Below are 26,571 nucleotides of genomic sequence, written 5' to 3' on the forward strand. Positions count from 1 at the left end.
TTTTCATCATAGTACTTACAGCTTTCTAACATACCATAATTCACTTTTTTATTATCTTTTTGTGGCTTTTTCACTGATATATTAATAATTCCAGCACCAAGAACAGTACCTGAGGCATAGCAGGCACTCAATACCTATTGAATGAATGGAAGAAATATACTTGGTTATTTGGAACTCGTTCTGCTCAGATTATTCAACATAAAATGAGGCTTTTCCCGTGAAATATTTTTTCGAAAAAAAGAAATGCCTGTATCCTTGATAATCGCAGTAAATAACACCATTTTTATAAACTTTGAATAAAATATATAGTTTAATTATACAACTAGTATATACCAATTTTTAAAGGCTGGGCATGGTAGCTCACACCTCTAATCCCAGCAGTTTGGGAGGCCGAGGCAGGCAGATCACTTGAGGTCAGGAGTTCGAGATCAGCCTGGCCAACATGGTGAAACCCTGTCTCTCCTAAAAATACAAAAATCAGCCAGGTGTGGTGGCACATATCTGTAATCCCAGCTACTTGGGAGACTGAGGCAGGAGAATCACTTGAACCCAGGAGGTGGAGGTTGCAGTGAGCTGAGATCATGCCACTGTACTCCAGCCTGGCCAACAGAGCAAGGCTCCATCTCAAAAAATATATATATTATATACATATATATAAAATATTTTTTTAATGTAGACCAAAACAAAACAAAACATGGATCTCCAGTTAGTGTGGTTTAAAAATTATTGGCTCAGAATTTGACCTATAAAGTGGAATACTTGCCTGGCATCCTCATATTTTTCAACATAAAGCTTCAATTATTTTTCCAAAAAAAAAATTTTTTTTAATTGATCATTCTTGGGTGTTTCTCGCAGAGGGGGATTTGGCAGGGTCATAGGACAATAGTGGAGGGAAGGTCAGCAGATAAACAAGTGAACAAAGGTCTCTGGTTTTCCTAGGCAGAGGACCCTGCGGCCTTCCGCAGTGTTTGTGTCCCTGGGTACTTGAGATTAGGGAGTGGTGATGACTCTTAACGAGCATGCTGCCTTCAAGCATCTGTTTAACAAAGCACATCTTGCACCGCCCTTAATCCATTTAACCCTGAGTGGACACAGCACATGTTTCAGAGAGCACAGGGTTGGGGGTAAGGTCACAGATCAACAGGATAAGAATTTTTCTTAGTACAGAACAAAATGAAAAGTCTCCCATGTCTACCTCTTTCTACACAGACACGGCAACCATCCGATTTCTCAATCTTTTCCCCACCTTTCCCCCCTTTCTATTCCACAAAACCGCCATTGTCATCATGGCCCGTTCTCAATGAGCTGTTGGGTACACCTCCCAGACGGGGTGGTGGCCGGGCAGAGGGGCTCCTCACTTCCCAGTAGGGGCGGCCGGGCAGAGGCGCCCCTCACCTCCCGGACGGGGCGGCTGGCCGGGCAGGGGGCTGACCCCCCACCTCCCTCCCGGACGGGGTGGCTGGCCGGGCAGAGGGGCTCCTCACTTCCCAGTAGGGGCGGCCGGGCAGAGGCGCCCCTCACCTCCCGAACCGGGCGGCTGGCCGGGCGGGGGGCTGACCCCCCCACCTCCCTCCCGGACGGGGCGGCTGGCCGGGCGGGGGGCTGACCCCCCCACCTCCCTCCCGAACGGGGCGGCTGGCTGTGCAGAGGGGCTCCTCACTTCCCAGTAGGGGCAGCCGGGCAGAGGCGCCCCTCACCTCCCGGATGGGGCGGCTGGCCGGGTGGGGGGCTGACCCCCCCCACCTCCCTCCCGGACGGGGCGGCTGGCCTGGCGGGGGCTGACCCCCACCTCCCTCCCGGACGGGGTGGCTGCCGGGCGGAGACGCTCCTCACTTCCCAGACGGGGCGGCTGCCGGGCGGAGGGGCTCCTCACTTCTCAGACGGGGCAGTTGCCAGGCGGAGGGTCTCCTCACTTCTCTGATGGGGCGGCCAGGCAGAGACGCTCCTCACCTCCCAGACGGGGTCGCGGCTGGGCAGAGGCGCTCCTCACATCCCAGACGGGGCGGTGGGGCAGAGGCGCTCCCCACATCTCAGACGATGGGCGGCCGGGCAGAGACGCTCCTCACTTCCTAGATGGGATGGCGGCCGGGCAGAGACGCTCCTCACTTTCCAGACTGGGCAGCCAGGCAGAGGGGCTCCTCACGTCCCAGACGATGGGCGGCCAGGCAGAGACGCTCCTCACTTCCCAGACGGGGTGGCGGCCGGGCAGAGGCTGCAATCTCGGCACTTTGGGAGGCCAAGGCAGGCGGCTGGGAGGTGGAGGTTGTAGCGAGCCGAGATCACACCACTGCACTCCAGCCTGGGCACCATTGAGCACTGAGTGAACCAGACTCGGTCTGCAATCCCAGCACCTCGGGAGGCCAAGGCTGGCGGATCACTCGCGGTTAGGAGCTGGAGACCAGCCCGGCCAACACAGCGAAACCCCGTCTCCACCAAAAAAATACGAAAACCAGTCAGGTGTGGCGGCGTGCGCCTGCAATCGCAGGCTGAGGCAGGAGAATCAGGCAGGGAGGTTGCAGTGAGCCGAGATGGCAGCAGTACAGTCCAGCTTCGGCTCGGCATCAGAGGGAGACCATGGAAAGAGAGGGAGAGGGAGACCGTGGGGAGAGGGAGAGGGAGAGGGAGAGCGCCTAATCTCTTTTTTAAGACCATTACACTAACCCGTAAGTCACAGAGCTACCCTACAAGATGCTTTAAATATAGGATGCCAGTATTTATTGCCTTAGCTCTTTGCAGCTCCTCTGTTTTTTAACATTGGATTAATATTGATGCAGCAGTGCTACACCTTGATTTAAAAACAACAAAATTTTTTTTAAATACATTTTTCTGAGATGGAGCCTCGCTCTGTTGCCCAGGCTAGAGTGCAGTGGCGCAATCTCGGCGCACTGCAAGCTCTGCCTCCTGGGTTCATGACATTCTCCTATCTCAGGCTCCCAAGTAGCTGGGACTACAGGCGCCCGTCACCGTGTCTGGCTAATTTTTGTATTTTTTTTAGTAGAGATGGGGTTTCACCATGTTAGCCGGGATGGTCTCAATCTCCTGACCTCGTGATCCACCCACTTGGCCTCCCAAAGTGCTGGGATCACAGGCGTGAGCCACCGCGCCCAGCCTGAATACATTTTTCATAATGATTTATGTATCCCCAAAATATAATAATAATATATTTATTTTAAAAACATATTTTCTAATTACTAATGAGCAACTTGGTAATTACTAATTACATGTTTACTAATATTAAAATTCTAGATACCCGTAGGTAAGTTTGTGGGTTTTTTAATTTTTTTTTTTTTTTTTTTGAGACAGAGTTTCGCTCTGGTTGCCCAGGCTGAAGTGCAGCAGCTCGATCTCGGCGCACCACAACCTCCACCTCCCGGATTCAAGCGATTCTCCTCCCTCAGCCTCCCGAGTAGCTGGGGATTACAGGCATGGGCCACCATGCCCAGCTAATTTTGTATTTTTAGTAGAGACAGGGTTTCTCCATGTTGGTCAGGCTGGTCTCAAACTCCCGACCTCAGGTGATCCGCCCGCCTCAGCCTTCCAAAGCGCTGGGATTACAGGCATGAGCCACTGTGCCCAGCTGGTTTTTTAAATTTTTAACAATATATTCCAGAACATTAGTTTTCAGAAAATGCATGAAGATACTTACCCATCCTTGGTTTGATCAGCTACTCCTGCCAAGAGCTGCACGATCTTTGGGTTACTATTTGGATCATTATACAGTCCAAGATAGCGCTGAACAAAGTCTTCTGGGGTCATATAACGCTCTCCATCAACCTCAGTACTGGCATACTAAAAAAATAAATAAATAATGCATACTGAAAAATTATCCAATATCATTTTATATCCAATAAATGGTTTGTGAAAAGGTAAATTAAAGGCCAGTATTAAAATCAAAATAAAGATAATAAATGCAGAATTTTTCTCTGGATACCGAAAAATCAAATATTCAGAGCCTGATTTAAAAACATTTTATAGTACTAATACATGCACAACATGTAGGAACCTTGAAAACATTATGATAAGTGAAAGAAGACAGACACTAAAGGCCATATATTATGTGATACTATTAAGTGGCATGTCCACAATAGGCAAGACCATAGAATCAGAAAGCAGAATATTGGTTGCCAGGAGCTGAAAGGAGAGGGGGAATGGGAGTTAACTGCTTACTGGTTATCAGATTTCTCTTTGGGGATGATGAAAATGTTCTGGAATTAGATAGTGGTAACATCATACAACATGGTAAATATACTTTTTTAAAAAACACTGAATTGTATACGTTAAAATGGTGAATTTTACATTATGTGAATTTTATCTCAATTAAAAATACATATATTGGTAAGATAAAAGATATGAAAAGACTAAGAAAAGTGAAAGGGCAGCCAGGACCTGAAAGTGACTCCCAGAGGCTTCCTGTCTACAAGAGCACCAGGGAGACACGTAATCTGCCAAACCTTAGAAGTGAAATGAATGAGAAAAGAATAACAAACAAGACCTCTCATCATTCCAAGTTCCAGTAGCCAGAAATAGGAAATAAATTAAAATATTCTTTGACATCAGTAATTTTTTACATCAATAATTTTTTTAAATAAAATAATAATAATACCTGTATCAAAGAAACTCATTAATTTAAGGGCTTTATATACTATGGGATGACCAAACATGAACAACCAAAGCCCTTCTCCTTGAGTTGCATCAGATTGATTGTTACTTCAGTCAACCAACAAAGCAGTAAGATCAGAACTGAAGAATACAAGGGCTCACAAAATGTCAAGCATGAAAAATTAAAGCGAACATCTACACTAGGGCCTGGCCCATCATCGTTAAATTGCAGAACATCCAAATGAAGTGAAAATTCTACAAGTTTTCAGAGAGAAAAACCAGGTCACATATAAAGAATCATGAATTAAGGGCATCATGCTCCTCAACAGTCCTGCTTTTTTTTCCCTCAGCACCTCTTTCTAACATACTTTATATTCTACTTCTTATGTTTATTGTCTATCTCCCAATTAGAATGTGTCACAAGGGAAAGAATCTTTGTCTAATTTGTTTACTAATATATCCCAAACACCAAGAATGATGCCTGGCTTATAGTAGGCACTCAGTAAATATTTGGCAAATGAATGAATTGGTAATAGGTACACAAATAACTAGGCAAATCAAAAGTTTGGTAATTTTTAACTATGAGAAATTACTTTAATTGTACAAAAATAGAAAATATCATAATCCATGACTTGGCTCAAAATAAACAGTATTTATAGTCATAATAATATAGACATCAAATATTAATTTAATAAAAATTATAAATAGGACAGGTGCAGTGGCTCACACCTGTAATTCCAGCACTTGGGGAGGCCAAGGCGGGCAACTGCTTGAGCCCAGGAGTTCAAGACCAGCCTGGGCAACATGGCAAAACCCCATCTCTACAAAAATACACAAATTAGCTGGGCATGATGTCACGTGCCTATAGTCCTAACTACTCAGGAGGCTGAGCTGGGAGGATTGCTTGAGCCTAGGAGGTGGAGGTTGCAGTGAGCAGTGATCATGCCACTGTACTCCAGCCTGGGCAACAGAGCAAGACCCTGTTTCAAAAAAAAATAAAATTATAAATATACTGACAGGAATGTGAGAGGAAGTAGTACAAGGAAGCTAAGACCTCAGCTACTATTACAGAAAGTCAAAAATGTCTAGAAATATCAATATAGAAATGTGAAGGGAAATACCAAATGAAATAGCTAAAAGAGTTACAAGTGGTTGCTTCTAGGAAACAAGACAGGGAAGAAGAATCAGGGCAAATGATTGTTGGTTTGCTTTCTAGTCAAGTGTTGCAAACATCTCCATTTGTGGATCTGACTAAACAAAGCCACCTGTTCTTTCAATAAGAAAAGAGTTAGGCCAGGCACAGTGGCTCACACCTGTAATCCCAGTACTTTGGGAGGCCAAGGCAGGAGGATCCCTTGAGCTCAGGAGTTCCAGCCTGGGCAACATGGAGAGACCAGGTCTCTACAAAAAATTAGAAAAGTAGCTGGGCATGGTGGTGCACACCTGTACTCCCAGCTATGCAGGATGCTGAGGAGGGAGGATCACTGGAACTTGGGAGGTCGAGACTACAGTGAGCCATGATTGTGCCACCACACTCCAGTCTGAGTGACAGAGCAAGACCCTGTCCAAAAGAACAAAAAACAAACAAAAAAAGCCACAGAGACTACCACCACAAGTGCTATATCAGCCTGCATAAGAAGTAACCCAGTGGCCGGGCGCAGTGGCTCACGCCTGTAATCCCAACACTTTGGGATGCCAAGGCGGCCAGATCACTTGAAGTCAAGAGTTCGAGGCCAGCCTGAACAACATGGTGAAATGCCATCTCTACTAAAAATACAAAAATTATCCAAGCATGGTGGCATGCGCCTTTAGTCACATCTACCTGGGAGACTGAGAGGAATGGGAGAATCACTTGAATTTGTATTTTTAGTAGAGACGGGTTTCACCGTGTTAGGCCAGGATGGTCTTGATCTCCTGACCTCGTGATCCACCTGCCTCGGCCTCCCAAAGTGCCGGGATTACAGGTGTGAGCCACCGTGCCGGGCCCTCACCTGTATCTTTGTAATAGCGACTTCCTAGTTTCCCTGTCCCAAGTTAGTTCCTCTCTCCTCCACTCACCTTCCATGTTGCCATCAGGAATAGCACAGATCAGATTATGTCTCTCCTTTCTTCTAAAACTTTTAGTATTGTTCCATGGCTTGCAGAATAAAGTTCAGACTCTTCTGTTTAGCATTCAAAGCATTTGAGAGGTGGGAGAATCACTTGAACCTGGGAGGCGGAGGTTGCAATGAGCCAAGATTGCACCACTGCACTCCAGCTTGGGAGACAGAGCAAGACCCTGTCTCAAAAAAAAAAAAAAAAAAAAAGTAGCCCAGGGGTTGCTTGATGACTTGTGCTATAGAACAAAAATAAAAAGACGTAGCCCAATATGGACTTTTTTTTTAACTAATTGGTGCTACCAAAAGCATTCAAGAAATATCACCCCAAAATAAAGTCATGTTCTCTATACATGACTATAAAAGCCATTCTTGAAGGGGTTTTGGGTTTAAACCTTGGCTCTACCACTAACCCTTTGTGAGTCCCTAGACAAGTTTATTGTCCTCCCAGGCCTCTAGATATTTCACACACTTACACAATGAAGACAAAATAATCTTTGAAATTTCAAAACAATAAATATATAAACACAGGATAAAGAAAACAATAAGTTTCAAAACAATAAGTATATAAACATAGGATAAAGAAAAAGCAAACTGTAAGGTATTTACACTAATAGTAAGTAGATTCCATCAATTCCTGTCAATTGCTTTTCTTCCTTATTCTTAATATGTACGAGATAATTGGACATGTTCCACCAAGATCACAAAACCACTAGAGTTAAGAATAGGCAGGAGTGAGGAAAGGCACAATATGAGGAAGACCGCTGCAACTGGAAAGAAGGATGGATACAAGGAAGTCTAAAAACAGAATGTAAGGAGACTGACAAGTTAGTTACTAGTCAATTACTAGTTCCTGTTACCAGTTCCATCCACCAGTAACTAGAATATGGGTTGCAAACAATGGTATGAGAAATATACTATGGGAACCAAAAAGGAGTGATTCATTCTTAGGACTGGTGGGATGGGGCCAGGGAATGGAGGGAGAAAGGCAACACTTGGAATGGACCTTAAAAGTTAAATCCAATTTCAATTGCAAGTGGAGAGAATGGGTATTTCAAGCTAAAAACAAAAACAAAACAAAACAAAAACACAAAAATCTAATGTGAACAAAGTTGAAACAAAAAATACCCCCCCTTTTTTTTTCTTTTCTGGGAGAAGGCTTAGTTGGAGAGAGAAATGGTAATAAAGAGAGCGTATACTAATACATGTAGTAGAAAAGGCAGTTTGAAACCAAATGGTAGAAGACTTTGAATGCTAAACAGAAGAGTCTGAACTTTATTCTGCGAGCTGTGGGATACTACTAAAAGTTTAAGAAGAAAGGAGAGACATACCTGATCTGTGCTATCCTTGATGGCAACATAAAAGGTGAGTGAAGGAGAGAAGAACTAACTTCGAACAGGGAGACTGGTAAGTGGCTATTACAAAGATACAGGGGAGGGCCGGATGCAGTGGCTCACACCTGTAATCCCAGCACTTTGGGAGGCTGAGGCAGGCAGATCACGAGGTCAGGAGATCGAGGCCATCCTGGCTAACACGGTGAAACCCCATCTCTACTAAAAATACAAAAAATTAGCTAGGTGTGGTGGCACGCACCTGTAGACCCAACTACTGGTGAGGCTGAGGCAAGAGAATTGCTTGAACCTGGGAGGCGGAGGTTGCAGTGACCCAAGATAGCACCACTGCACTCCAGCCTGTGCGACAGAGCAAGACTCCATCTCAAAAAAATAAATAAATAAAAGATACAGGTGAAACAGCTTGAGGCCTGAACCAACACAGTGGGCATGAAAAAGAAGACAGTGGGTACTTTTACCTATTGCTAATGGTTTTTTATTATTTTAATAGTATTACATTCATACCATTCAAAATTCAGAAGGTACCAAAGAATATACAGTGGAAAGTCTTCCTCCTACTTCTGTTCCCAATCACTCAATTACCCACCCCAGAGGCAATCGATTTCTTATGTATCCTTCTAGAGATGTTTTATCCATAAACAAGTAAATTATATATATAATGTTAATATATATACATCCAAATATATGTGTGTATATATGAAATTCTTACCATTTCTTTTTATATAAATGATAGCATACTATTTATACCGTCCTATACATCTTGCTTTTGTCGAATTCAGTCCTTTTGAAAAGAAATTTAGCAATATATAGGTACATACACACAAGTATACATTATATATAATCATAAAAATGCTCGAATCCTGGCCAGGCGCGGTGGCTCAAGCCTGTAATCCCAGCACTTTGGGAGGCTGAGGTAGGGGGATCACCTGAGGTCCGGGAGTTCGAGACCAGCCTGACCAACATGGAGAAACCCCATCTCTACTAAAAATACAAAATTAGACGGGTGTGGTGGCGCATGCCTATAATCCCAGCTACTCGGAAGGCTGAGGCAGGAGAGTCGCTTGAACCCGGGAGGCGGAGGTTGCGGTGAGCCGAGATCGCACCATTACACTCCAGCCTGGGAAACAAGAGTAAAATTCTGTCTCAAAAAAATAATAATAATTAGTTGGGCGTGGTGGCAGGTGCCTGTAATCCCAGCTACTCGGGATGCTGAGACAAGAGAACCTCTTGAACCCGGGAGGCAGAGGTTGCAGTGAGCCGAGATTGCACCAATGCACTCCAGCCTGGGTGACAAGAGCAGAACTCCATCTCAAATTTAAAAAAAGAAAAAAGAAAATACTAGAAATGGGATTATGGTGATCTTTGTTCTCGCTCTTCACAACTGCTTGTGTTGCTTCTTTGTTTCATTAACAGATGATAAAAGAGGGGGGAGCACATGAAAACATTTCAGAGATTTTGTATTAAGAAAATTTGGCAACAATTGTTCTTTTTGCCACAGAGGTGTCTATTCTCTAATATCTGAATTTGACCTCCAGGACTACAACCACTAAATAAAAAACACAAACACACAATACAAGCGTTCTGTATGGCATCTACTTCATAGAATACTATGCAGCCATAAAAAAGACTGGAATCATGTCCTTTGCAACAATGTGGATGCAGCTGGAGGCCATTATCCTAAGCAGAATTAATGCAGAAACAGAAAATCAAATATCACATGTTCTCTTTTAAAAGTGGGAATTAAATATTGGGTATGAGGCAGGAGAACAGGGTCTGGAGGCCATTTCACACCAACTTCCTAGAACTAAATTGAAAGGAAAACCCTAACTTTCCACACCTAAGTAACAAAAGGACCTGAGGCTACTCCCTTCGCAAACCCCCTTTTCTCCACGGCAGATGGGAAATTGGCTGTTCGCAATCAGACCGACTGCAGGCAGACTCTTCCTTTGCATAGAAATACAACGTTGTAACTTTCCCTTAGCCTCTGATTGGTTGCTTTCCGCAACCAATCAGATGTTTGTACGGGAGTGTGACCTTTATAACTTCACTTCAGCCTCTGATAGGTTGCTTTCCGCAACCAATCAGACCAATTGCGGGCCACCACTTCATTTACATGAGGTAAGCACCAAGTGGCCAATGGGGAACCTCTAGGAAGTATTTGGACGCGAGAAGTTTCTGTATCCAGGCCCTTAATCCGCTGCTCATTGGCTCCCACACTGTGGAGTGTACTTTCATTTTCAATAAATTCCTGCTTTCGTTCTTTCATTGCTTCATTCTTTCCTTGCTTTGCTGGGCGTTTTGTCCAACTCTGTTCAAAATGCCAAGAACCTGTACAACTTGCAGTCAAGACCCTCTACCTGTTACAGGTACACATGGACATAAAGACAGGAACAATAGATACTGGGGACTATTAGAGCGGGGAGAGAGAGAAAGGGCAAGGGGTGAAAAAATTCCTGTTTGGTACCATGTTCACTATCTGGATGACAGGATCAACAGAAGTCCAAACCTCAGCATCACACAACATACCTTTGTAAGAAACCTGCACATGGGGGCCGGGCGCGGTGGCTCACACCTGTAATCTCAGCACTTTGGGAGGCGGAGACGGGTGGATCACGAGGTCAGGAGATCGAGACCATCCTGGCTAACATGGTGAAACCCCGTCTCTACTAAAAATACAAAAAATTAGCTGGGTGTGGTGGCGGGCGCCTGTAGTCCCCGCTACTCGGGAGGCTGAGGCAAGAGAATGGTGTTAACCCGGGCGGCGGAGCTTGCAGTGAGCCAAGATTGCGCCACTGCACCACAGCCTGGGCGAGCGCAAGACTCTGTCTCAAAAAAAAAAAAAAAAAAAAGAAACCTGCACATGGGCCTTTTGAATCTAACATTTAAAAATTTTTAAAGTATACTGTATATATGGAATCGCCAAGATGTCAACATTCTTGACTTTAAAACTATCAGGAAATAGAGCAGCCTTAGCACAAACCACAAAGGACACAGCGGCTAACAAAGAAAACAAATGCTTTAGTTGACATGTACTGAAACAGGCTTTGCCAGTATCTGGGGTTATAAATGATGCCAAAGAACCACTTACCCTGAGGTATTTTGCCAGTGTTTTCTCCAGCTCTCCTACTCTATTTTAACTTAATTTTAACTGAAAGATAGAGTGTATAGCTTAGAGGAAAAAAGCATAAGTTTTCTCCCATCCATAAGAAGTCAGTACTTGACTTCTACAGGAGACAGTTAACTAATTAACTCATTAAATTAGAGACAATTACTTGGCAATGTCTGTAAGCCTGTTGCCTGAACAACACAACCAAAGAGGGAGTTTAGATCTGAAACTAGAATCTATCTACCCACAGTCAGTCAAAAATGCTAAAATATTTTAGGTATTATGCTAACAAAGAAAAGCTGGTACCTCAAAAATTGGTGATATATTTAAATCAGGGGTTTGGGTTTTTTTTTTTTGGGGGGGGGGGGACTCAAGTGATCCTCCCACCTCAGCCTCCTGAGTAGCTGGGACCACAGGTACGTGCCACCATGCTCAGCTAAGTTTTTCAGTTTTTATTTTTTTGTAAAGATGGGGGTCCCACTAGGTTGCCCCCCCACACACACATACACACTTAGTATAGCAAGCAATTTAATAGTTTCATAATATAATTTTCATTTTGTTCCTGTGTTTTCAAAGGATGAACTAAAATGACTTTAGATGAAATTACCCAAGTATGTCTATACTCCAAGTAACTTTAGAGTTTATCATTTGCCATTTCAAAGATATCTCTTAAGCAGTTGTATATCCCTCTGGGGCAAGAAGTCAAGGACACATGGAAGACATTGACATAAAGTAGCTGACAGTATCTGAAATGTATCTGAAATAGCTGGTCCATTTTCTTGATTAAACTTTTTCCAAGCCCAACTCAAGTATTTGAAATGTAAAAGAACATACAGCTTTGACATTTCCAGAAATATTTAAATTTACATTGAGTATAGTTAGCATGTGCTCAGGAAAGCCTTAACATTCTAAAGCTTAAGAAATAAAATAGATCTCATGAGATTAGAATCCTCATACATTTAATCAAAATTATTGTCTATAAAAGATGGCAGGGTTTCACATACAGATGTGTATCATAATTACACTGAACTATCTCTAGCTCCAAATGAGAAGATCATGCCATTTAAAAATGTTTTGCCTACCAAGCCAACAGATCAACATACCAAGGCTTCAACTGACTGGAATAAACTGGATAGCAATAACTCCTTTGCAATTTACCAAATTTAACCTTAAGTGACCTTTAGGATGTATGCAACCGGCTGGGCACGGTGGCTCACACCTGTAATCCCAGCACTTTGGGAGGCCGAGGCGGGTGGATCACGAGCTCAGGAGTTTGAGACCAGCCTGGCCAACATAGCGAAACCCCATCTCTACTAAAAATACAAAAATTAGCCAGGCCTGATGGTGGGTGCCTTCAATCCCAGCTACTCGAGAGGCGGAGGCAGGAGAATCACTTGAACCCAGGAGGCGGAGGTTGCAGTAAGCCGAGATCGTGCCACTCACTGCACTCCAGCCTGGGCGACCAGAAGAAGACTCCATCCCAGGAAAAAAAAAAAAAAAAAGGATGTATGCAACCTATATTATTATATTAACTACACATTACAAAGACTGACACACAACCCTAAATTTCCACTAAGAAAAAAAGGTTAACTTAAAATTCAATGATTTGAATGAGCATAAAGCCCAAACACTCTAAATGATACAAATTACTTGTTTAAATAGTTTAAGTTCATAAACAGATCCTTTGATGTTTTATATCTCTAAAAGATATTCCAGAGACTATAAAGAAAAATTCTGATGTGTTGTGACTAGAAAACTGGTTACTTTTAAAAAATTATATGGTGTATCAAGATTAAGGATTTTTGAAGTATGCACATCAAAACTAAGGCAATATATCTAGAAACACTGCTTTTTAAGCCAAAAATCTGCTGAGATCAAATCTTTCAGGTTATTTTGCATTCATTTTGAAACTGTGTACCAGGCACTATGCCTGGTGCCTGGTACTGGGGATGCAGAGATCAACAAGACATAGTGCCTGCTGTCAAGTAGCTCAGAGATGATGGCACGACGGACACTAAAACTGGGTCAGAAAACTTGGGTTCTAAACTCCTGTGCCATTAACTCAAGAATTTTTGGGCAAAACATGCAGATTCTTGGAGTCTCTTCTTTAACAAGGGTTTGCAGAAAAATTGCTGTCCTATTGTGAGGCAAAAATGACACCTTGAACACCAAAGTACTTCAAAATTGTAAAATATAACTTGAAATAGTTACTGTAAAATGCTTAGAAACAGAAAAGCATAGGATCTCTATTTCCCTCCTTGCTTAGTGAATTCTTCTGCTTTTGCCCAAACATGAAGAAATTATTGTTCTAACCTTTCATCTCTCTCCAAGCCAGAGTTTCCCTGGGTTGGCTTCCAGTATTCCTGGGCTTACCACGAGATCGGTCCTGACTGGTCTAGGCAGCTTTATCTCTGTCTAACCAACATGTGGCTGTAATATGAGTCAAAACAAACTGTTCCTCCATTACTTTGTTCCAACTGAGATGAACTGACATTTTCAGATCTTAACATCCTTTCAATTTCAGTAATTCAAATGACAATATCATGAAGTTTAGTAACTACAGATATCTCATAGAGCATTTCCCACATAGAAAAATGAATTATTTGAACAATAAAAGAGGACAATATGTACCAAGGCAAGTACTGAGTATATGAAGCTAGTTCTCTTACTGTCCTTCACTATTATGGCTCTTACTTCCAACAGAAGCCAAATTTAGTCAGGAATGCATGCCCTTTCACTACACAAGCACTCTACATAAGGAGCAAAGACCACAGCAGATCTGACACACAAACCCTGTTAAACAGTACAATGTGTAATTTGCCTTATTATGTTAGTTCAATTAGAATAAAAGAGCATTCTATCATAAATAATACTTTATAAGAAAAAAATTATTTTAAATACATATGGCCAGTTTGATTTTTTAACAACTTTATTAAGCCATATTAATTTTTAAAAACAAGGATTTTAATTAGTAATGTAAAATTTTTCCAATGTTACTCAAATCAACTACATGAGCATTAGGGAAAAGCAGTTGTATAAATCTAATTTTGATTAGCACTTTCAGTTGCATATTTTGGATATACTAGAAACAAAACCTTTTACTGATTTTGCTAAAAAAATATTATTCAGTGCTCTGTCTTCCTAACTCAGATTGCTTCCATGAATACTATGTGCTTATTTTTGTTGTTGTTTTAATATATTTTCACTGTCCACTATAGTAAGCCCTACTGTCAGCTACTGAATGATGCAATTTCTAACACAGCAGGGAGGTAAAGACCCTTATTAATCAATGAAATCAATTGAAGCTACCATAATAAAGAAGATCTACCAAAACAATTTTCCACTCAAAATAACCAAAAACCTTGGAAATAAAATAATGACCCAAAGAACCCAATAACTGGAACTAGAATGCTTCCCAAGGCAGATTAAGTTGAATAATTAATTTGCATCATTCCTTAAATAAATACTTTAGTCTCTTAGTCTAAGTAACCATGGGAACATACAAGAAGCATATATATGTATAAGCTTGGGCAAATCATGTCGCTTTGACAATCAAGGTGCTGCTCCTAGGGGGATGGAATGCCTTAATGTTGATAAGCCTTGATTAAATACCAAGATTTTTACCAAAGAGAAATAAGGACCTTTAACATAGCAGGGTGCAGAAAGTATTAAAAGATCTAAGAAACAGATCAACCAAATGCAATGTATGAATCTAGCTTGGATCCTGCTTTTTAACAAAGCTACTTAAAAATATATGAAACAATCAGAGAACTTCGACACTCAAAAGAAATTGATGATAAGACTTTTTTTAGGTGTGATAATGGTGTTATGATTTGGTTAGTTTTTCAGAGTGTTTATCTTTAGGAGCTACATACTGAACTATTTATGGATACTGCAAGATGATGTCTGAGAACTGCTTCAAAATAAGCCACTGTGGCTGTAATACAGATGAAGCAAGGTTAGCCATGATAATTGGTGACACTGGAATGACAGATATATGGTGATTCATTATACCATTTTCTCTTTTTTTGTATGAATTTTAAAGTTTATTAATTCAGTTAGAATTACAACAAACTTTTTAAAAAATAATTTCAAATCATATTTTATTTTTTTGAGATGGAGTCTCCCTCTGTCACCCAGGCTGGAGTGCAGTGGCGTGACCTTGGCTCACTGCAACCTCCACCTCCCAGGTTCAAGTGATTCTCCTGCCTCAGTCTCCCTAGTAGCTGGGATTACAGGCATGCACCACCACGCTAATTTTTGTATTTTTAGTAGAGGCGGGGTTTTACCATGTTGGCCAGGCTGGCCTCGAACTCCTGACCTCAAGTGAGCCACCCACCTCAGCCTTCGAAAGTGCTGGGATTACAGGCATGAGCCTCAATTCATATTTTAGATTAAGAGGGTACATGTGTGGGTTTGTTACAAGGGAATACTGTGTGATGCTGAGGTTTGGGGTACAAATGATCCCATCAGCCAGAGAGTTTGCATAGTTCCCAATAGTTTTTCCACCCTGTTCCCCTCCTTCCTTTCTCCCTCTAGTCATCCATGGTATCCATCATTATTCTATTTTCTCTAGATTTGTATATGTTTGAAATTTTTCATAACAAAGTTATTTAAAGGGCTACAGAAAAATAATGAAACAATTCTTTACACACTAACATACCTGTATCTCCAAATAATATTAAGTAAAAAAGGCGAATTGTATTAAAATATATAAAGCAAAGCTCCTCCGTTTACTGTATATCCTTGAACAAGCTACTTAACCTTTCTGGGGCTTAGTTTCCTCATCTGTAAAATGGGAATACTAATCGTTCCTACCTTATAGAGTTGTTCTGAGGATTAAATATGATGATTTATATAAAATACTTAAAATAGTGCCTGATACATAACAGTGACACAGTAAGCATTAGCTATTATTATTTATGTTTTTTAAAACCACAAAACCCCATATTTTCTTTTTTTGTTGTTGTTGTTGTTGTTGTTGAGACGGAGTCTCACTCAGCCACCCAGGCTGGAGTGGAGTGGTGTGATCTCAGCTCACTGCAACCACCATCTCCCAGGTTCAAGCGATTCTCCCATCTCAGCCTCCCGAGCAGTTGAGATTACAGGCATCCGCCATCATGCCTGGCTAATTTTTGTATTTTAGTAGAGATGGGGTTTCACCATGTGGGCCAGGCTGGTCTTGAACTCCTAACCTCAGGTGATCCAGCCGCCTCGGCCTCCCAAAGTGCTAGGATTACAGGCCATCGCGCCCGGCCAAAACCCCATATTTTCTGTGTAAATGTATGGGGAAAGATCAGAAAGAAACACGACCAAGAACAGTGGTTACCTCTTAGGTGGCAGGGAATTATTGGCTTTTGGGGTAGAGCTCAGGAAGGACTTCAAGCCTTCAGAAGTATTGGCTTTTGGGGTAGAGCTCAGGAAGGACTTCAAGCCTTCAGCTTTATACAGAATGTTCTATTTTTTTAAAAAAGTATTAATGTAGGGATGTGTAATTTAAGCAGCTCTAGGCTATGAGTCCTTTAAAAACAGGGATACCTTATTCATCCTCATACCTCTAGCACCTTGCACAGTACCTGGCTCTTTGTAGGACAATCAATAGCAATCTGTGTTGAACAGATCTGCTGAAAATAATGAGCCATGGGATGGGAGGGGTAGGGTAAGGACAGAAAAGAAGATGGGGAGAGGAAGACCACCATAAGAAAAAGACTAGAAAGAAGACTGAGAGAAAAAATTTTTCTGAAGAAAAAATGAGGTGAGGATACATTTCTTCTTCAGGGGTCCTAATTTTGGTTATTTTTTGTCATTTCACTTAAGGTATTTTTGCAGATAGTATGACAGCTGCACTGGAATGTTCTAGAAAGCTACCAAATACAGCAGTGTTGACTTGGAGGCACAGAATCTCTTGCCATCTCTGTCTCCCAGCCTCCCTGAGTCACCCCTAGGCTTCCAGGTTTTCCAATCCCTTATATGCTATACATAAACAGTTCTTGGTTTTAATGTGCCTAGCTTTCCTTCCCCCCTTCTGGTAACTGCATGCTAATTTTTCTTGAACATACACACCTCCCTCACCCTCAATTTACACAGGTCATTCAAATGGGGCTGACTCAACTGAACAGTTCCAGAGGTGAGCATGTGAACCAGATCTGGCCAATGAGAACACTGCCTCCTTCTAGTACATGGGTTTTCTTGGGGTATTAGGGAGGACAATAATTCCTAGACTTAACCTAGAAATTGGAGAAACAGTACCTTTTCTCTGCTGAATGGGTAGGATTTTAATCTGGGGATGCTCCACATGGCAAAGCCTGTTTGAGAATGAAGCTAGCACAACAGAAACCAAAACTAAGAGATGAAAGGTGCATGATCCCTGGTGACAGCAGTTAAGCTCCTGATCCACTCATGGCTAGAGCCAGTACATTCTAAGCCTACGCATGTTTAACCAAAATTCCTGTCACTGAAGACTGAAATAGTACTGACTAATATTTTCAAAATGTGTGTTTCTTCCAGTTCTAGAAACCCAACGCTGGCCATAGCAATGGTTTCAGTGGAAGATGCTTTCAGAAATTTCCACAGTACTAAGTAAGAGAAATCTGCACAGAACAGGGAGGTGGTGATTTTAAAAAAGAAAGTTACGCACAAAAAAAAAATATGTATTTTTTCAAGTCTGTGTCTTGGGATTTCAGAGCCTATGGCTGGACCGTTATTCTTTTACACGTCCAGACTGAGCGAATGAAGTTTCAGAAGAAAACTCTGCAAACATCTTCCATGGTCTCTCGGGTCTCCCAGCCTTAGACTGTGACTATACAACATCTTAGAACCTCATAGACTTGAGAGAAATCGGTATTTGTCAATAACTTCAGATGGATGTCTCAAGAATGTAAGTAATTAACTGATTATATGTACATAATCATAAATACATATTAACATCTTAGTCTCTTGACTAGGTCCAGCATAGTCATCTGGAGAAGACAAGGGACTCAGATCTTATTCAAGAAACAAACAAAACATCCTAATCTCAACTTAGAAGAGAAGGAAAGAGACAAGGAACTAAGCTTTATTTGGTTCTGCATAGTTTACATGTTATTTTATTTAATCTTTAGAACATCCCTATGTGCTAGGTGTCATTATCCCTTCTTAGACAGATGAGAAAACAGGCTCCAAAAGTAAACACCTGAGCTCAAAAGGTTTCAAATGAGGATTCAAACCCAGGTTAGACTACAAATCCCATGTAGGCTCCAGGTACACTCTGCTGCCCTCTGGATGAAAAGGAGTTTCATCCAGCTCAAGATGTTCTAGGAACTCTATAGACAGGAGGACATTAAATTGAAAGAATCGGCCAGGCGTAGTGGCTCACGCCTGTAATCCCAGTACTTTGGGAGGCCATTTACCCCCATACTTAATTACCAATGCTTCAGGCACACTGGCCTTTCTGTTTGTTGAACACATCAAACCCTTTTCTATATCTAAGCTTTGTACGTGTGAGCCCTTTGGAATTCCCTCCACCACTTCACCCTCATTCCCTTTTAGTTCTCAGCTCTTAATATTGCCTCCTAAGGGCCCTTCACTGACCACTCTCTTGAAAAATGATTTAAAAAATGATGGCCCTTCTCATTATTCTGTTTACTTCCTTGGACGTGTCACAATCTGTAGTAAGCTTTTTTTTGTTTGTTTTGTTTTTTGTTTTGTTTTAAGAGACAGGGTCTTACTCTATCACCCAGGCTGGAGTGCAGTAGCATGACCCTAGCTCACTGTAACCTCAGACTCCTGGGCTCACATGATCTTCCTTCCTCAGCCTTCCTAGTAGCTAGGACTACAAGCACAGGCCACCATGCCTGGCTAATTTCTTTTCTTTTTTATCTTTTTTTTTTTTTTTGTAGAGACAGAATCTCACTTTTTTGGCCAGGCTGGTCTCAAACTAGTGGCCTCAAGTGATCCTCCTGCTTCAGCCTCCCAAAGAGGTGGGATTACAGGAATGAGCCAGTGTGCCCAGCCAATCTGTGGGCTTTTTTTTTTTTCCCCCCGAGACTGAGTCTTCCTCTGTCGCCCAGGCTGGAGTGCAATGACACGATCTCGGCTCACTGCAACCTCTGCCTCCTGGGTTCAAGCAATTCTCCCACCTCAGCCTCCCAAGTAGCTGGGATTACAGGCGCCCGCCACCACGCCTGGCTAATTTTTGTATTTTTAGTAGAGACGGGGTTTCACCTTGTTGTCCAGGCTGGTCTCGAACTCCTGACCTCGTGGTCTGCTCTGTGGGCTTTTTTAATTGTCCACCTCGCCCCTAGAATGTTAGGTTCTAGGCTGGGCACGGATGGTGGCTCTCATCTGTAATCCCAGCACTTTGGGAGGCCGAGGCAGGTACATCACCTGAGGTCAGGAGTTCGAGACCAGCCTGGCCAACATGATGATACCCCCATCTCTACTAAAAATACAAAAAAAATTTAGCCAGGTGTGGTGGTGCACATCTGTAATCCCAGCTACTCAGGAGGCTGAGGCAGGAGAATTGCTTGAACCTGGGATGCAGTGGTTGCAGTGAGCTGAGACTGCGCCATTGCACTCCAGCCTGGGCAACAAGAGCAAAACTCTGTCCCCCACCAAAAAAAAAAAAGAATGTGAGGTTCTACCTTCACTGAGGTCCTTTGTATTGTCCCTACCCTCACTAAACAGCTCTATCTTATCTCTATAAAGGTAGAACCTAGTACAGTGCTTAGCCTGGTACATAGTAGGCAATTAAAAGTGTATTGATCGGCCAGGTGCGGTGGCTCACGCCTATAATCCCAGCACTTTGGGAGGCCGAGGAGGGTGGATCACAAAGTCAGGAGACTGAGACCATCCTGGCTAACACGGTGAAACCCTGTCTCTACTAAAAATACAAAAAATTAGCTGGGCGTGGTGGCGGGCGCCTGTAGTCCCAGCTACTCGGGAGGCTGAGGCAGGAGAATGGCGTGAACCTGGGAGGCGGAGCTTGCAGTGAGCCCAGAGACTCCGTCTCAAAAAAAAAAAAAAAGTGTATTGATTGGTAGTAGAACATCACATGGCATTTAATAACACTAATTTTCTTATCTTTTTATTATTTTTCAATCCTTCTGCTTGATTCAAGGACAAAGTCTCACTATCCTGCTAGTCTGCCTTTAATGCCTAATACTGTTCTTTTTTTTTTTAATGAGAACTCTATATAGTTTATGTTAAATACTTTCTAAAGTATTTAGAAAAGGCTGGGCATGGTGGCTCATGCCTGTAATCCCAACACTTTGGGAGGCTGAGGCAGGTGGATCACCTGAGGTCAGGAGTTCGAGACCAGCCTGACCAAGATGGTGAAACCCTGTCTCTACTAAAAACACAAAAATTAGCTAGGCATGTGTCTGTAATCCCAGCTACTCAGGAAGCTGAGGCATGAGAATTGCTTGAACCCGGGAGGCGGAGGTTGCAGTGAGCCAAGATCATGCCACTGCACTCCAGTCTGGGTAACACAGTAAAACTCTGTCTCAATAAATAAATAAATAAATAAATAAATAAATAGGTTATCATCTTCAATTTCCATATTTCTGAGGAACTGGTGAAAACCCTCAATTATAATAGCATGGTTAATAAAACTATAGATCCTTTTCTGTGTGTCTCATACTGGGTTTATTCAATCCAAATTATGCTGGGAAATCCTCTTGTAGCTTCAGGCTCTGAATTGCTAAATTCTTACTTTTTAAATTACTCACTTGCTCAAAGCTTAATACATATACATTGAGACTATTTTTATTTTCCTCTTTATTCTTCCCTCAAGTTAACAACCTAGTATTTATCCTTTCATAACTTTCTCAGTGCTCATTAAATCATACACAAACATATTATATGTAAACATACATGAAATGACTTTGTTTTACAAATCAGAATCATGCTATATATACTTATTTGCATCTTTCTCACTTAATAGTACATTGCAAAATTTCTCTAAATTGGTGGTCTAGGCCTAACTCATTCTTTTTAGTATCTGCATAACTTTCATAGTATAGTTATTCCATAAGTCTTCTACCACTCCTCTTTAATATAATAGCTTTTTTTTTTTTTTTTTTGAGACAGAGTCTCACTCTGTCACTCAGGCTGGAGTGCAGTGGTGCACATGGCTCACTGCAGCCTCAACCTCCTAGGCTTAGGTGATCCTCCCACCTCAGCCTCCCAAGTAACTGGGACTATAGGCTCATGCCACCACCACACCCAGCTAGGTTTTTGTATTTTTTGTAGAGATGGGGTTTTGCCACGTTGCCTAGGCTGTTTTTTTTTTTTTTCTTTTTTGAGGAAAAATTCAGTGCTGCAGTTAACCTTGTACATATATATTCTTTTTTTTTTGTTTTGAGACAGAGTTTCGCTCTGTCGCCCAGGCTGGAGTGCAGTGGCGCGATCTCGGCTCACTGCAACCTCAGCCTCCCAGGTTCACGCCATTCTCCTGCCTCAGCCTCCCGAGTAGCTGGGACTACAGGCACCCGCCACCATGCCCGGCTAATTTTTTTGTATTTTTTGTAGAGACAGGGTTTCACCATGTTAGCCAGGATGGTCTCAATCTCCTGACCTTGTGATCCGCCCACCTTGGCCTCCCAAAGTGCTGGGATTACAGGCATGAGCCACCACATCTTGCCCTATATTCTTATATTTTTACAAATATTTTTATTTCTCTGGGATAAATAATCCAAAAGAAAATACCATTGTTTGTTCAAATGATATTTTCTTTTTATTTTAAACCATTGCCAGCTTGCTTTTCAGAGTCTTTGTTTCCACAAATACTGTATCACCCTTTAATACTTGATAATCTTATTGTTACTCTAATATTGTGGTATACCTTCCACACTTTTGGAAACACAGCCCTAATGTATATTTCAACAAAGAGTAAGGGTCTCCTGCTAAAAGCCCTGCTTTATTCCCTTCTCAGCTCCAGGCTACTGTCAAAAATAAGTAAATAAAATACATAAACTATTTGAATAAAAGAACATATCTTTCTATTAAAAATAAATGTTATTGTAAAAACCCTAAGGAGGAATCGCCCTTTGCTTTACATTAACAGTATCTTCTCCTCTTTATTCTCTAACCTAAAATAAGACAGGAAAAAAGCACATTTTCATAATTTTGTATGGGATACGATCTTCATTGTTACATTGGTGATAATGAAAAAAGAACAAAATTAAAATAATATTTGAGGTCTACATTTCAGTAAATTTTTGATCTGGCAAATATAGTTGCAGTCTTAACATATATTGCCTTTACTATACAACACACCAGCAAACAAAAGAAGCCTATTAACTAAAAAGAGAGAGAGATTAAAAAATAATTCATTTAAATGTTTTTGATAAATCTACTTTGCCACAAGGGACAGACAAAATTAACTCTTCATTTAGAAATTTGTCAGACTTATGTTCCTGCTGTCCCACCTCACCTTCTTCTTCACTGCTTCTATTGTCTCCTTTTGCTACTGTACACTGCTGATGTAGCTAAATTGAATCAATGACAGTGTGTGGGTGAGAGAGGTTAAAAGAAAAAAGGGATAAATCAAGAAATGACAGTTGTAAGGGTGGTAATGGTAAAATCTTAGCTTAAACCAGTTGTAAAATTACAGCACAGCCTAACACATAAGAATTCATTTGTTGTACTCCAATTTCATGAACTTGGCAGAGTGGAGGTGGGCAGAAAAAGGCAGAATCTTAGTGCATACTGTTGTTGTTGATGTTTTTTAACTAATAGAAACATAGCTCATCAAAACTTGAGAAGCAATGAACACCACAGGAAAAATGAACCTATTTCCCTATATTCAAAATAATAATGCTTTACTCTTATAAAGCCCTTCTTATGAACTCCCACACCAATTCTCATACAATTTCACTAAACATAGATACATAAATAAGTCAGTTGCCACTTTCTTTTCTTTTTTCCTTTTTTTTTTTTTTTTTGGAGACAAAGTCTTGTTCTGTCACCCATGCTGGAGTGCAGTGGTATAATGATAACTCATTGTAACCTCGAACTTCTGGGCTCAAGTGATCCTCCCATCTCAGCTTCCAGAGCAGCTAGGACCACAGGCATGTACCACCGCACCCAGCTAAATCTATATACATATATTTGTAGCCATGGAATCTCGCTTTGTTGCCCAGGCTGGTCTTGAACTCCTGGCCTCAAGTGATCCTCCCACCTCAGCCTCGCAAAGCACTGGGATTACAGGTATGAGCTGCCGCACCCAGCTGATATACCAGTACTTTCAAATAAAAATATATATATATTTTTTTAATTATTATTTTTTTTGAGACAGTGAGTCTCGCTCTGTCGCCCAGGCTGAAGTGCAGTGGCACAATCTCGGCTCACTGCAACCCCCGCTTCCCGGGTTCAAGCGATTCTCCTGCCTCAGCTTCCCTAGTAGCTGAGATTACAGGCGTGCGCTACCACATCTGGCTAATTTTTTATATTTTTTATAGAGACAGGGTTTCACCATGTTGCCCAGGCTGGTCTCAAACTCCTGACCTCAAGTGATCCACCCGCCTCAGCCTCCCAAATTGCTGGGATTACAGGTGTGAGCCACCACACCCGGCCATTTTATTGTTTTACAAATGACTTTTGACCCATGGCTCAAAAGTTTAACAAAATATTCTTATTTGAAAGTAGGAATTTTTATTGACTATTTGTGAACTTAAACAGTTAATGCCACAGATCTACATTTTACAAAGAGTTTTCAACTGTACTCTAAAATTTAAAATTATATCTCTTTATAGTCTTTAAGTAGCTCAGATAATTCTAAACTCAAGTGACCCCAAAATCCTCCCCAAACTAAATCATACTAATAACAGAATAATCTACATTTTAACCTTTAATTATATCCTTCTTGTGAAACTCCTACTTTAAACTTTCATGGGACCATTCTCCCTATTTCCCCTCCTCCTCCTTCCTACTTCAATTGGAGATATCACTTATAAATCAGCCCCTGATCCTCTGCCTTGCTTTATATACAAGGAATTCATCTACCACCTGCACAAATTTGTATCTGTCCAAATCCAACTTTAACTTAGTGAGATACATTTGTTTAGCAACCAAACTAACCCCATCCCCCCAAAAAATATTATCTAAATAGATGCCTTATCAATTAACACCTATCCTAAAACTGACAGGTTCACTTCTACTTCTTCCCTTACTTCCATATTTAATACCAAATTCGATAGATTCTTCCCTTACATCGCTGGTATTGTCCTTGCTTTTCATTTCCCCAGCCATCAACCACTCTAGGTCATTAATTCTCAAAAGTATTACTTCAGTAGCCTCTCAGCTTATCACCTAAGCTACTTCCAATCTCTTCATACTTTATCCAACATACACAAAAAGCTGCCAGAATTCACCACTTCAATTTGCCTACTCAGAAACCCACAGTGGCTCCCTACTGTTTCAAATCCAAATTCCTTGGCTAACTATTCTAGACAGTTACAGTGTAAAGAAACTTTTTAAATTTCATCACCTAAGTAACCAGATTTTTTTTTAACTTCTTAACACTCTGCCATTATCCCCTGATATACCTCTGTCTTTCAAAAGTCACCCCATTTCAATATCCTACCAGTAGTATTATGTAAGGGTTAAGGGTATGGGCTCTGGAATTTGATTTGAATCTGGCTCTACCACATAGTCTGACATTAATTTAACCTCATCTATGTAACAAGGATATTAAACCTGCTTCATAAAGTTGTTATGAAAACTAACATTAATATCCTTAAAGCACTAGGCCAATCTCAAGCACACTCTAAATGATCAATAAATGTTAGCCATTGTCAATATTATTACACAGCCACTATGATGTAAGAAGCCAATCTGATTGCTCTACCACAGGCTATGCATTTGCCTTCACTATTCTTGATTCCCTCAACCACAAACCATGAGAGATGGCATGGGCCTGAGAGAGCAGCTAGTCCAATCACATGTCCATCAGCATTTAGGTCTTGGCTCTGTTGTCTCTCTTGATATTCGACTTGGTGTCTGCTACTGAACAGTATTGTATTGAATAAAAGTGCATGGTACACAGCAAATAATCCTTTGTAAATATTTGTTGGGTAAATATGTTAAGTGCTAAAGAAATACACGGTTAGCATGTATTTTTGTCTTCTATTATAGCTAAAATATTAATCAACTATATGCATCTATAAAACTGTTTCATAAAACTGTTTCTAAACAGTACTGCAAAGCTTCAAATAACTATAGTTTGAAGTATTCAAGCCAGGAATAAAAATCTTTTACTTGGTAACTATCCTCAAATTGATCCAACTAGCAATACTGTATCGTGTGTGTCTGTGTGTGTGTGTGTGTGTGTGTGTAACAAGGTCTTGCTCTGTTGCCAGGCTGGAGTGCAGTGGTATGATCTTGGCTTACTGCAACCTCTGCCTCCTAGGATCAAGCAATCCTCCTACCTCAGCCACCTGAGTAGCTGGGACCACAGATGGATGCCACCAGGTGTGGCTAATTTTTAAAATTTTTTGCAGAGACGAGGTCTCACTATATTGCTCAGGTTGGTCTTGAACTCCTGGGCTCAAGTGATCCTCTAGCCTCAGCCTCCCAAAGTGCTGAGATTACAGGTGTGAGCTACTGCACTCAGCCTATATTGTTATCTTTCTTGCTGCGTTAGGCCTTTCTGAAGGTGAGTATTTACATTCTATCACTCTCTTATCTATCAATAATGCTTGTGTCAATGTTTCATACTTAGTGCTAAATAAGCAGTTATGAATTCCACAAATTTTCAACATAAAAATAAAGGCATCATCAAAATAATGTGTAAAAAGATAATGACGATATGCAAAACAGTAAATGAAAAGCTAAGATTTAAAAGTTGTCAAAGAATCGGCCAGGCATGGTGGCTCACGCCTGTAATCCCAGCACTTTGGGAGGCTGAGGCACACAGATCACGAGGTCAGGAGATCAAGACCATCCTGGCTAACATGGTGAAACCCTGTCTCTACTAAAAATACAAAAAATTAGCCGGGTGTGGTGGCACATGCCTGTAATCCCAGCTACTCGGAGGCAAGAGAATTGCTTGAACCCCGGAGGCAGAAGTTGCAGTGAGCCAAGATCACGCCAGTGCATTCCAGCCTGGGCGACAGAGCGAGACTCCATCTCAAAAAAAAAAAAAAGTTGTCAAAGAGCTAGGGACAGTCCTCGCCATTCTCCTCATACCTCCAACCCACCTCTACCCCCACTCAAAAACAAAAAACAAATCCATACAGAATCACAGTATATTTTTTTCCCATAGAATTTTTAAAGCTAGAAAGACCTCAATTCCCATTCCTTTATGTCCCACTGAGTCCCACATGAGAAGCTGAAACTCAGGAAGGCCAGATGATTAGCCTAAGGGTACAAGAACCAGATAAATGCAGGGCTGGGAATTAACTCCGTATTCCTAGGCAGTACTCAGATACCTAGGCAG

General features: G+C 41.5%; 1 protein-coding gene across 2 annotated transcripts in view; it reads right to left on the minus strand.

The window, feature by feature from the left end:
* Positions 1–26,571, minus strand: part of SLC25A12 (solute carrier family 25 member 12) — a 110,840-nt gene that overhangs the window by 81,630 nt on the left and 2,639 nt on the right. For both annotated transcript variants that reach the window (NR_047549.2, NM_003705.5), the window contains exon 3: positions 3,647–3,789. Coding sequence is in view for 1 of the 2 variants with exons in the window: in NM_003705.5 (NP_003696.2) it covers positions 3,647–3,789 (143 nt within the window). In the remaining variant the exon portion in view is untranslated. The remainder of the gene's footprint in view (positions 1–3,646; positions 3,790–26,571) is intronic.

This window comes from Homo sapiens, chromosome 2, assembly GCF_000001405.40.
Source record: "Homo sapiens chromosome 2, GRCh38.p14 Primary Assembly".
In the NCBI taxonomy this organism is placed as follows: domain Eukaryota; kingdom Metazoa; phylum Chordata; class Mammalia; order Primates; family Hominidae; genus Homo; species Homo sapiens.